General features: G+C 45.0%; 2 annotated features.

The window, feature by feature from the left end:
- Window positions 4,490–5,373: an enhancer, noted in NCBI's record as "H3K4me1 hESC enhancer chr6:169184286-169185169 (GRCh37/hg19 assembly coordinates)". NCBI's record gives its function as "activates a minimal SCP1, AML or CMV promoter by ChIP-STARR-seq in primed H9 embryonic stem cells {active_cell/tissue: H9 hESC(primed)}" and the evidence as "EXISTENCE:reporter gene assay evidence [ECO:0000049][PMID:30033119]".
- Window positions 5,374–6,258: an enhancer, noted in NCBI's record as "H3K4me1 hESC enhancer chr6:169183401-169184285 (GRCh37/hg19 assembly coordinates)". NCBI's record gives its function as "activates a minimal SCP1, AML or CMV promoter by ChIP-STARR-seq in naive H9 embryonic stem cells {active_cell/tissue: H9 hESC(naive)}" and the evidence as "EXISTENCE:reporter gene assay evidence [ECO:0000049][PMID:30033119]".

The raw sequence follows: 13,255 nt of genomic DNA, 5'->3' as shown, positions 1-13,255 counted from the left end.
ACAGCTGAAACAGCCCCGCATGCACTTGTCACACCAGGCAGAAGGAGTGTGCATCCATCTCCCAGCGCTGCCTCACAAATCTCCACATGCGCCATGTCTGGAAGTCAGAAGTCCAGGTGAGTCTGGGGGACCACCATCAAGGTGTGGGCAGGGCTGCTTCCTCCTGGAGCTCCAGGACAGGGTCTCTTTCCCACCTTTCCAGCCAGCGGAGACTGCCGCGTTCCTCAGCTCCTGGCCCCTTCCTCCATCCTCAGCACAGCAATCGTACCGCGCTGGCCTCTGATTCCCTGGCTACGTCACTGACACGCCTGCCTTCCTCTTTATAAAGATTCTAGTGGTTACACTGGGGCCACCGGAAGAATCTGGAATAATGTCCCTTTCTCACAATCCCTCATTTATTCATATCAGCCATGTCCGTTTTGCTCTCCAAGGTCATATAGTCACAGTATCTGGAGATGAGAATACAGACAGCTTTGGAGGGCCATGGTCCTGCTGACCATGGCTTCTTTCCTAGAAAAATTGTCTTCGAGAGGCTTTGGGTCAGGGGCCACTGACTGACAGTGGATGGCACGTGCAGAAGCAGGTGGCTGCAAACAGGACAGTCACGCTCACACGTGGGGACTCCGTGCCCGGTTGCTTGTCCTGCTTCCCAAACACTTGCATCCAGGGAGATAATGGCCAGGGGAGGGAACTGGAAGAGTCTCTGGAAAACCGGAATGTTCCTGAAGAAACACCTCCGAACACTGCCATGGAGCATGCTCTCATTGAAGTGTGGCTCACCACTTGGTCACCTTACACTGAGGGCCACCCAGTGACAACTCCAGCCAACCAAATGTTTAGTGGTTAGCTCTTAAAAGCAAACAGCTGAGGACCACCAGTTATTTGACCTCTAACATAAAAATAAACACAGATCATTAAACAAATAAAAATATAAGCAAACCGGAGACATTGCACAGCAGAAACTTCAATGTAATCATATTATAATTAATATTTCCAAGGAAATAAGGGAAAATATTACATTTGTAAAACAAGAACAGGAAGAAGTTATATAAAAGGATTATTAGAGATTAATAGTGAGCTCTTGCAAAATAAAAATATAATAACTGGATTTATATATGCATATATGTATATGTGTATATCTGTTTCTCTACACACAGACACACACACATACACAAAGATTAAATGAGAAAGTTTAAAACTATCTCAAAACAATATTAAACAAAAAATAAAAGCAAATGGAAAAGTAATTTAAAAAATGAAAAATATAAGGATCAATCTGTGAAATCTAAAATTCGACTAAAGTAATTTTAGAAAAGAGAATAGAAAAAATAGAGGGGGAGAAAATAATTAGATACATAACGCCAGAAAAAGTTATTAAAATGTTCTGTAAGGCATCTCCAGTTTGAAAATGCCAACCCAGTGCCCAACACTGCAGAGGAAAGGGGAACCTCAGTAAGGCACAGGACTGTGAGCTGTCAACAGAGACGAGGAGATCTGATGGGGACCCTGGCAGTCACATTGGGGACTGGGACACAGCTGCAGAAAATATAAAGAAACAATATGAATCAGTTGTCTCAGCAGCAATACAGGAAGTGAGAAGACTAGAGAAAAATACCTTGTGACTTTACAAGAAAAAAAAACAAAATTTTATATCCAGCTATTCAGTCACTCAAATATGAGGAAAGAAAAAAGGACATTTCTGATGTGCAAAAACTCAAAACAAGACAGTCTCTGCTCTTCCATAATGAGCTTCTAGAGAGGGGCAGAAGTGCTGTGGCCGGCCCAGGAAACTCAGTCCAGACCAGAGCTGGTGGACAGGGGACCTCGGCAAAGAGGCCCAATGAGAAAGGTAAAATTAATGTATTGTCTGATTTATCTGAGTTTCAGGGGAGAAATTGTTGAAGAATTTGTTGAAATATTTGGCAGAGTTGATTGTAAAGAAGAATCAGAGAAAATAAGAAATTAAGAAACCCTATTTTCCTCACGTATTACTATTGTGTGAATAAGTGTGTGACTTCATCATATCCATTTTCAGTCACATGCTTTGCAAACTATATCTAACAAATGATATAGCTAAAATAATTTGCTAAATGTATATAACATCCAATTTAAATGTAATTTTTCAACTCAGTCTTTTTCAGCCAGAATTTCTAATCTTCTGGTGTGCTCTATGAGTACGCCTCTGTGACACTACATCATGCATTTTTATATTCATCTGTGCCAACACTCTTTTCAGGAAGCAGGGATTGGATTGATGTGTATAGACTTGTTCGGCAGTTAGCAAAGTGTCTTTCACATAAGGGTTCAATAAATGATTAAGTTTGTCTTAGGTAAAGTTGACAATCTTGTCCAGAGGGACTGCTTCTGTAGGAATTTGGATTTTCATGCCAGAAAGAGCATGCACTTCCACCTGCTATGCCTGTTCCCTGTGGTCATAACCGGCCATCTAAGAGCTGTGATATCTGGGTCAGAAAAGTAAGCAGATTGAGCAGTCTTTGGATGAGGCACCTATGGAGTACAGGGAGCTCTGTTGGGACCTGGTTGGAAGTTGATACCAGTCCAAGAAACAGGGCAGGCAGCAAGAAGACCTGCTTGCAATGAATTAGAAATAATTTTAGGAAAATGGATTTGGCTCTTCTATGTGATGAGGTTAGTATAAGGAAAAGTGTGGGAGTCATGAAATTACAGAATCAGGGAAAGAAATTCTCTCCACTGGGTGCAGTGGCTCACGACTAATCCCAGCACTGTGGGAGGCCAAAGTGTGTGAATCCCTTGGGTCCAGGAGACCAGCCTGGGCAACCTCATCTCTAATATATATATATATACACACACACACACACACACACACACACACATACATACACACACACAAATCAGCCACGGGTGGTGGTGTGTGCCTGTAATCCCAACTACTTGGGAGGCTGAGATAGGAGAATTGTTTAAGTCTGGGAGGGGGAGGTTGCAGTGAGCTGAGATCATGCCACTGCACTCCAGCCAGGGCAACAGATCGAGACTCTGTCTCGAAAATAATGCAAAAAAATAAAATAAGGAATCTCTCTCTCAAGACATTTTCTGCTCACCTCCCACCTTTCTCTCGCTGACTTTCCTCAACGTGTCTCAACACATTCTTTCTCCCTGTGTGATTCCTCCATCCTTGTTTCATCTCCGGGAACCATGAGGTCAGGGAGGGTTGATTTGCTTGACTGATGAGCTGCTGACTCTCTGCAGTGTCTGGCACATAACAAGGACCTTATCAGAGATTGGCTGTGATCCATCAGCATGTGACGTCTTTATCAACATGTTCAACTCCACCTTTCCCGAGAGTCCTCGTTAACCATATAAATGGAAATTTACTTAGGAGTTCCTACTGGAGATCAGGGTGGAGATGTAGAGCTCAGATTCCAGAAAAAGAACCATAAATGTTGCCATTAGATGGGCTAGAAAAAAATTACTTTTTCTGGTTATATCCATATCATAAAGCAACAGATGCCATGAGTCTTGTTCTGGGAAGTCTGATACCTGGGATTCATCGTCTGGTGATTTCCAGATTGGTGGCGATCCCAACACCATGTTCCTTCCCTTCCCCCTTCAAGACACAGCTGGTTCCTTCCAGCTCCCGCTCTGTTGCCAAGCCTAAGGCACTCCTCACCTGTCTATGGAACTGGGTGACTGAATTTGCTCAGCATAACAAAAGGATGGGGCTGAAACACAGGCATGTAGTAGTGATTGTTAGCTCCTCTTGTCTTCTATCATTCTTGGGAAATAAATTCTTTCAATCTCAACCTGCACCCTACTTCACGACTTGTTTACTCTTGGGAATAGATAAAGAATAAATGTTTTCCTTCTTTAGGAAAACAGAACAGAAATAGTTTTCTATTTTGATCCAATGTATGTGTCAAAGTCATCAGGAATTGGCACTGTTCATGAAATACATTTCACTTTTTTCTCTTCTCCAGGGAGAATTGGTATATAAACTAAAAATCTATCTTAAAATTTATCTGCAAATAAAGCTGAAGTGGAAAATGAGTCATTTGGTCAATTACATATTCCAAAACACTTCCAATCGACATACGAAGGCAAAACAGAGAGCAATTTGTGTTTGTCTAATTACCTCCATTTGACCCTTACCCAAGAGAATTCCACCTTCCACCTTTCAACCCTGGTAGTTGAGTGAACTTGATTCTGCTCTGTCATCTCAGGCCTGGTTCTCCCCAAACGACACAAAGGCCTTCGAGGAGCAGGAGCGGATCCAGCCGTCCGTGTCCCTGCAGACAGGGCAGCACCGTCTGGAAGCCTGGCTTTGGGGCACGCGTTCTTCACCTTCGTGGCTTCGTACCTCGTTGCATAGTACCTAAGTTCCTGCTTACACTAAGGTCTTGGATAACATTCCTATTTCTGTAGCCTTTACTCACATCATCTCAGATAGGAACATAGATCCACAAGGGCAGGAGCGAATCTAAGAAATTATCCTTTTTCATTTTTCTCTTGTGATTTCTGTTTGCAGTGCCCCACCTCCGCTTACACAGCTAGAGCAAGAAGTGTCCATTTTTAAAGCAGGTATCATTAATGCAACACACAGAGGAAATTGGTCAAGGTCTTCACATTTGAATTTCAAAAACTGACTCCATAAAGCAGGACTTAGAAAAGTCAGATCATTGGTTTTTTCCCACACTTGGACTTGAGAAAGTTTCCTGAGAATGGGGAAAAGGAGAAAAACCCCAAATAAATAATGGAATTAAATGCTGACCTTTGTCTCTAAGCCACCCAGAGCTGCTCAGCGCAGGGCCCCCGGGCTTGGCCGGACCTGCAGGAGGCCTGGAAAATGCAGGCAGAACCTCAAGCTCCTGTTCCTCATTCACAGCCAAGCAGGGAAGCAAACGTCCCATCTGTGAGCCAGAGGCCGGGATCCAGCTCCAGGACATTCACAGCAGCCCCGGGCAGACCGTGACTCGCGTGCCTGAAAACACCGAAGGCGTGCACTGGAGAGGCGGGGTGCTGGAGAGTCAGGGTTGCAGCGGAAGTGTGAGGGAAGGGCAGCACTCCTGGACCACGAGGGTGAAGGGGACAGAGCCCATCCCAGGGGGCAGTGGCAGCCTGGCAATGACCCTGTCAGGTGAGCATCTCTGCAGGGTGGCACCGTGAGTGAGGGAGGCCCGAGGAGCAGGCACGACCTGGGAGATCACCTGGATTCCATCCCTAACGTCCTGCAGTGGCCGTTCAAACCTTAGTTAAGTTACAAAGCATCAAATTCCACCTGGCTAACACGATGAAACCCCGTCTCTACTAAAAATACAAAAAATTAGCCGGGCGTGGTGGCGGGCGTCTGTAGTCCCAGCTACTTGGGAGGCTGAGGCAGGAGAATGGTGTGAACCCGGGAGGTGGAGGTTGCAGTGAGCCGAAATTGCGCCACTGCACTCCAGCCTGGGCGAAAGAGCGAGACTCCGTCTCACACACACACACACAAAATAAAATAAAAATAAAATAAAATAAAGCATCAAATTAGTTTCAGTGTTTCTGTGTAAATAAATCCAAATCAGAATGTGCTAATGAAACTGAAGATGTTTCAGGCTGATAGATTCCATTGCCTGCCCTTCCCCCAAATCCAGGATTTGAATGATAGCCTGGGGCTGAAGCACACGCCAAGGCGTTTTCAACACTAAGCCCAGGAAGAAAGCAGTGCAAAGCAGCGTCTCTTGTGTGCAGTCACTGCTGTGGACGCTCAAGATGCACGCGTGAACCAGACGGGGTGCCTGCCACCGCAGAGGCTGCACTTCAGCAGCCGAGGTAACGCATTCAGTAAGACAAGCCAATTTGGGGTGCTGCGTCAGGGCAACATGTGCTGTCGCCCTCAGAACTAAGTGGTCTTAACCCCAATACAGACTTTTTATCTTTATGAAGAATTTTTTTTTTTTTAGAAAGAGTCTTGCTCTGGCACCCCAGCTAGAGTGCAGTGGTGTGATCTCGGCTCACTGCAACCTCCACCTCCTGGGTTCAAGTGATTCTCCTGCCTCAGCCTCCTGAGCAGCTGGGATTTCAGGTACCCACCACCATGCCCGGCTAATTTTTGTATTTTTAGTAGAGACGGGGTTCACCAACTTGCCCAGTCTGGTCTTGAACTCCTGACCTCAGGTGATCCACCTGCTTCGGCCTCCCAAAGTGCTGAGAATACAGGCGTGAGCCACCATGCCCGGCTTACAGAGACTATTAAACAGCAGAATTAGCTTAGTGGGTGACACTGAGATTACTGAGGAAGACATTCTTATGAGAGCTGTTTCCCAAAACCTGGGAGCAGTTCCCTAGCGGCAGTGTGCTCAGGCCCCACCTGCACAGATCCCTGGAGCCATCAGGGTGAGAAACAAACTTTCCAGTGCCTCCTTACGGCACGTCCTGGCCTCCAGAGCAGGCTGTGTGTTTAACAGTCAGTATATATTTTTTTAGAAAGAGTTCCAGCCTGTCATTATTTACATACTTAAGACTGTTTGATTCCTAAACCACAGCCCAAATATTTTCTTTTAAAATCTCTGTAAGTATCAAGACATATTTCACAAAAAGCTCAGTGTGTTCTCCCTCAAAACAGTGGCATTGAAAAATACCTGCCTTGTGTTTTAGAAAAACACTTAAATCATTTCTTGAAGTACAGCCATCAGTGCATTTAGACAGAAAATGCTTTCTGAAGAAACAAGCCTTGTTAAATGGTTTAAAGAATATATATGGAGCCTTTGCTAGGTATTTAGAAACTCCTCCTGTGGTGAAGGAATATGAGCCCGTCCAAAAACCATCTCAGATTAAAATGATTAATTATCCCTAATAGAGTGTTTCAGAGCAGTGTTTATCCGGCCATGTGCAGCTCAGCAGGGGCCCAGAAACTGCTTCCAGATCCCTACAGCAGGTTCCAGGGAAATGGAGGAAAGGCAGCGGCTGCCGCCCTGGTGGACACGTTCCCAGGCCCTCGCGGGGATCTGTTGAACCCAGGGAGCTTGGAGAACGGGCAGCATCACGTCTCTCCCTTGGCAGCTTCTGCCTCTGCGTTGGTGTCTCTGATAGACAGAAACGATAGTCAGGGCAGAGTATCAGCCCTGCAGGAGGGCAGGTCCCCATGGCCAGCATGCCCAGGGTCACAGGAGACTCCAAGGCCTCCCTCTGGAGCAGGTGTCCCTGCCAGCGAGGAGAGACAGACGGCGCTCTGTGTGGTGACCACTGGCTGGGACTGGCAGCTCTCGGCTCCGCACAGACTTTGACTTGGCAGCTGTTGTCCTGTTACCTAAATTCTCAGTTCAACTTCGGCTTAAGTTTTTTCCTCTTGGCTTGGACGAAACTGTCTTTCTCTGGGTAATTTAAGACCCTGGAGGTGAATATATGGTGTTATTTTTCTCGCTCTTTTACCGCATTCAATTTTCTGGGAAAGGCTCATAAATGACGATTACAACTCATCCACAGAGAAACTTTAATTCTTTAGTTTTACTTTCTGGGGATCCTTTCATTTACTTTGCTTTGTTCTAAAACCAAAGACCTGCATAGGTTCAAGCTGTCGATAGAATGATGCCTTAAGACATGTAAACCTTCCCAGGTGAACACGTGAGTCAGAAAGTTATGTAAGTCTGTCTCAGTGGCGGTAATCTGTGCTTCCCTAAAGGAGAATCTCCTAGCATGAAATTTTATGTTTAGGAAGGAGAAATATAAATACTAAGGAAAATAAAAAAGTATAAACAACGTCCTATTGAATGAAAATCAATGTCTTAACTGCTGTTAATTTGGTAACAAAAATTTTATCAAATTTCTATAATTGATAGAATTTCATAATTCTATCAAATTGTGATAATATGCAGAATTGATATAACTAATATCAATTTTCATTCATGATTGATGATGATAATGAATGGTGGAGGTATGGTGAGAGAATTCACAGGTCTCGTCAGGTGATACTGAGATCAGTACCTAAAGCTGCAGCCTCTGAACCCTCGCCGGGCAATATCCCTGCAGGTGAGGCCAGTGCTGGCAACAAGCTTCTCTCCTGGGGAACCCCACCTGGGAGCTGTGTGCTTCCCTGTTTCGTGGAGAATATCAATCTTGCCCTCCTTCTTGATATCAGCTTCTTTCCTAATACTTTATTATTTATTTATTTTAAGACAGAGTCTTGATCTGTCACCCAGGCAGTGATGTGATCGCAGTGATCACGGCTCTCTGCAGCCTTGACCTCCTGGCTCAGTTGATCCTCCTGGCTGAGGCAGTGCCAGTCCCAAGTAGCTGGGACTACAGGCACACACTATCATGTCTGGCTAGTTTTTGTATTTTCTTGTAGAGATGGGGTTTGGGCATGTTGCCCAGGTTCCTGATACTTTAGATTTCTTACGCAAATAGTATGCCCCATAGTTCCCATGTTTAAGGATAGATAGGCAAAGTAGACTCTCTAAACAGCATTCATAATAGAACTCAATTAAAGCAGAATATCTGGATTCAGGCCAGGTATTCATACTTTTTAAAATCCCTCATATAATTCTAAAATATAGCCAGTTGGTGGCTCATGCCTGTAATCCCAGCACTTTGGGAGGCCAAGGCAGGTGGATCACCTGAGGTCAGGAGTTTGAAACCAGCCTGGGCAACACGGTGAAACCCCGTCTCTACTAAAAACACAAAAATTAGCCAGACTTGGTGGTGAATGCCAGTAATCCCAACTACTTGGGAAGCTGAGGTTGCAGTGAGCTGAGATCCTGCCATTGCACTCTAGCCTGGGTGACAGAGTAAGACACCATCTCCAGAAAAAAAAAAGGGGGGGGGTCTAATTTCATGAGGGAGTTATAACAGAAGAGTGAAAAGTGTACAAAGATTGTGCAGTCAGACACACTGGAATCCATTCCCACATCCTTGCTTGTCAAAGTCTCCTTGGAAAAACCTCTTCAAAAACTTGCAGGCATAACATGTCTAGGACTGTGCCTGACAAAACGTTAGGGGCTGCATCCTGCTCAGTCACGGCTGCCCATCGCGGCTTCCAAACACTCCCTGGAGCTGCCAGGAAAGGAGCTTCATCTGCACCGCCAGCCCACAGCTCCTGCTCAAAACTTTCCTGTGATCCAGCCTGGGACATTTTGTTAAAATCATTCCTCTGAATAATCCTTCTGATTCAACTTCTACCCTCTCAGAATGATTTAAGTTTAAAAGAGTGTAAGTTTATGAGTCATCCTTCACTCATCCATTTATTCATTCACTTACTTAGGCACTTAATATTTATTGAATGTATACGTCTGCTAGACACTGGCATTGCAATGAAGAATAGCATGGAAGTAGACAATGAACAAGTAAACAAACACAGTATTTGTGCACGTCGCAAAAAGTGTCATTAAATAAATGATCTTGGGCCTGAAAGAACGGATGTCAGCAGAGCTCACCACAGACTGAAAAGTTGGCAAAGTCTTCACGGAGATAACAACACCTAAGCTGAGCTCTAAAATTTAAAATGCCATGTGTTACTGACCTATTGCTACATAATAAATCATTCCAAAATATGATCACCAAAACAGTGCTTATTTCCTTGCCACCTGTGGGTCACAAACCTAAGCACCACTGGGCCCTCAGGCTCAGGGTCCCCATGAGGCTTTCATCAAAGTGCTGGCTGGGGCTGTGGTCTCATCTGAGAGCTTGTCTGGGGAGGCTCTAACTCCAACACGCTCATGTGTTTGTTCACAGGATTTGGTTTGTCCAGGCCCATTGGTCATCAGCTCCCTCAATTTCCTGCCTGTGGGCATCTCCCCAGAGGAAGTCCTCATGAAGCTGCTGGTTTTATCAGAATGATCATGTGAGAAGGCTGGAGAGAGAGAAGTCTCCAGTTTGCATAATCTAGTCTTTGAAACGGCACCCATCATTTCCACCACATTCCACTCATTAGAAGTGAGGCCCAGATGCAGCCCGTTCTCAGGGGGAGGGCATTGCATGGGGACATGAATGCCCGGAAGCAGGAATCGCTGGGGACATTTGAAAAGCTGCCTCCATGCCACACCCACTGTGCAAAGGACCCAGCGAAGGAAGCTGGACGGGATGTGCATCTTAGGGTAGGGAAGATGAATAGCCAGGTTTGGAAATCCTAGTGGTAAGCCTTGCTGGTGGTTCTGGTGATTTTGATGAATACAAAAAGTAGGAGAATAGGAGGGAACTTCTGCTCTGAAGACAAGATCTTTAATAGGTACATTTCTCCCCCAGACAATCCCATTATGTTTTTTTCCTTTGTGTTGGAGAAGTGTGTTTTGTCATGTTACTTTGCTACTCATAAAAACACCTGCTATGAAGCTGTAGCTCAGGATGTATTAAATATAGATGATATTTATTCAGCACATTATAAATTCTTTGTCAGCTTATAATTGTTTATTACCTTTGCATTTTTCAAGTTTACAGAATTATATAAAAGAGCTGTTTTTATGTGCACAACCATTAATTTTAGTTAGCAGAGATTTCCTTCAAACTCCACTTTTATTCCCTTAGGTATACAGTTCTATAACTTTCAACACATGACAAAATTGGATAACTATGACTATAATCAGGATAATCAGGATACCAAACACCGGCTTCACCTTTAAAAGTTGCTTTAGCCACAGACCCATTCAGCTGTTATACATGAACACAACGACAAAACCCAGCTGTCATAAATACTTCCACATATAGCACAGACACCGTATTTGAGATTTAAAGAATATAGAGCTTTTGGAGTAGATGAAGAGTGAGTAATTAAGATCAGATACTCTACAACATTAACTTTTGAAAGCACATTTTCTGGTCTGCAGTAATTTACTGAAACCTAAATTTTAAAGATATGGAAGATTTTAAATAAAAGTATTAAGTGGATGACAATATGTAAGGGAATGCATATTTTGATTGCTTTTATAAGATTCTCTGTCTTTCTACGAATAGAGGAAGTCCTTCCGACTTTGGTCATGAGAGAGAACCATGTGCCCCTTTTAATGGGACAGAGATAAATAAGATACCCGCGGAATAAAGCCGTTAATCAGAAGGAGCACTGTGGAATGCCGAACACAGGCTGCAGAGGCATTAGCAAGCAGACTTGGCCCTGGAGACAGAAGACGCTGGCCAAGTCAGCTTGCGTGATTCTCCTGTTTGCACAATGTACTGAGCAGAATTGTGCTGTGGACTCATGGAGTCTCAGCTTTGGAGCCAGGAGGCTCAGGCATGGGCTGTGCCCCTAGGGAGCCTCCTCTGGCCTGGTGAGGATGAGCTGTGGTAAAGGTCGTGGAAGACCAAGGGCAGAATGCAGCTGGACTCCACTGCCTGGGGACAAGCCAAGCTCCTTCCAAGGCCTCTGAAGGCCAACACTGCTGGCCCCAAGGGTGTCTGTGACCCCACCTCCTCCCACTCTTCTCCTTCCTTACCTTCCTCCTGCCGCACTGCCGACCTCCTAGCTGTCTCTTGACCTCTGGCCTCAGGACTCTGCACTTGCAGTTTCCTCTGCTTTGGGAAGTCGGGCCCCAGTGCCTGCAATGCTTGCTGTCCACATCCTTCAGATCCCTGCCCCAGTGCCACCCACATAAAGAGAGTGTCCTAGGCGATGCCTCGCTGGTCTGGATGCCCCATCTCCGCTGCCTGGTGTTATTTTTCTCCTAGCTCCTGGGTTGAGCTTAGGTGAGGAGGACAAAGCCCTCACAGCCTGAATGAACACACCACATGTGCATGTATGTGAGGCTGTGTGCTTCCCAGTCACCCAGCACATGAATACAGTGGGAACTCCACCAGGTCTCTGTTTTTCCCCGACAGTATATCTTCAATAAACTTGGCCTGAGCTTTAAACTCCTTCCTGCCTCTTAGCAAAATTATGTTGTCATTCTTATCTACAGGACCCTGGAAAAGCACCAGATATCAGTTGAAGGGGTTGGAGAACCTGCGGCACACCGGAGTTTTGCAGGGACACATTATCCCGGGCTCTCCAGTGGTTGGATTAGATTCTATCTGGAAAGCAGAGTTGGGCCCTAGGGAAATGGCCTCCAGGTGGGGCTGAGGTGGCTGGCCAAAGGGTGCTGTCCTGGGCTCACAGGCCCAACAGGGTGCTGGGGTGGAATCTCCCGAATGACCAACTGCCTGGAGCGGGTCAGCGCTGCTCCACGGAAACGGGATGTCAGGAGAGGGTGGAGGAAGAGCCAGTGGCATCCTCACTTTATCCCAGGCCAGGTCTGTGTCTCCATCTAAGCTGGGTTCTGGGAGGGCTTCATTAGTTTTTTGCTTTTATTTGACACAAGCATTTCATGTGGGAAAATCACAGTTTCTGTTACCTAAGTTGAATAATTTCTATTTGTTAAGCCCCCAGCTTCTCAGAGCCTTCCAATAGTCACACTGGATACAGCAGCCTTCGCAACAGGCAGGAGCAGCTTTCATGGTTAACTCGGATCCTGAGTTAATCATTTCAGCAACTTCAGAAATTATTCAAGGCTCAGTCACAGCTATTATCATCACTTACCTGCCCCTAAAAAGATTTCTAGAACTGAAACTCAGAGTTCAAAATATTTCCATTCATGTTGAGTTCACAGTGCATTTTTATCTTCTTAGGATAAAGAAACAATAATTTTAAATACAGTGTGATATTTTGTTGATGCAGATTTCAATTTGGATGCCATTATATTGCAGATGTTTCCATGTTTACCAAACGCACTGTTGTTTGTGAATACTATAGATAAGTTTGTAATTGCGTATGTAGACAAAAACGAATTCTTTGGGACATTTCCATCATGCAACTTTAAATGCAACAGAACTGTGACATTGCCATTAGAAAAATGCAAACTGTGTGGATCCAGTTTAAAGTCTTTCAGCAGCAGCTGTGTGCCCAGTGTTAAGTAAAACACGAATTGCACGTTACCATCTTCATGGTCATTATTACAGCTTGGTGAGTTGGTGTTCTTGCCTCTAGTCTGCAAACAGGAGCATCATCCTAACAGAAACAGGACCTCAGCACTTTCCATCCCACAAATATTAACACTTACACAATAAAGAAACAAGTCCCCAGTTTCTTCATATAGCACTAAATGTTCTTCACGATCTGGCCTGAAATCGCTTTCCTGGCTCCATTTCTGACCAGTGCCTGGATGAATGCCGCACATCTTAGACTACTCACTGTTTCCAAACAGCCCATGAAGCGGCTGCCTCTCACCTCTGTCTACATTGAGCTCCTTTTCCTAAAGACTCTGCCACCTTCTGCAGCTCATCTGCTGAAATCCCAGCCCGTTGTCCTCTGGCCTCACTCTTTTCCTGTGTTTTTATGTGATTT

Source organism: Homo sapiens, chromosome 6, assembly GCF_000001405.40.
Source record: "Homo sapiens chromosome 6, GRCh38.p14 Primary Assembly".
Classification (NCBI taxonomy): Eukaryota; Metazoa; Chordata; class Mammalia; order Primates; family Hominidae; genus Homo; species Homo sapiens.
Note: the sequence above shows the minus strand (reverse complement) of the source record. Positions and strands in the feature narration are given on the sequence as shown.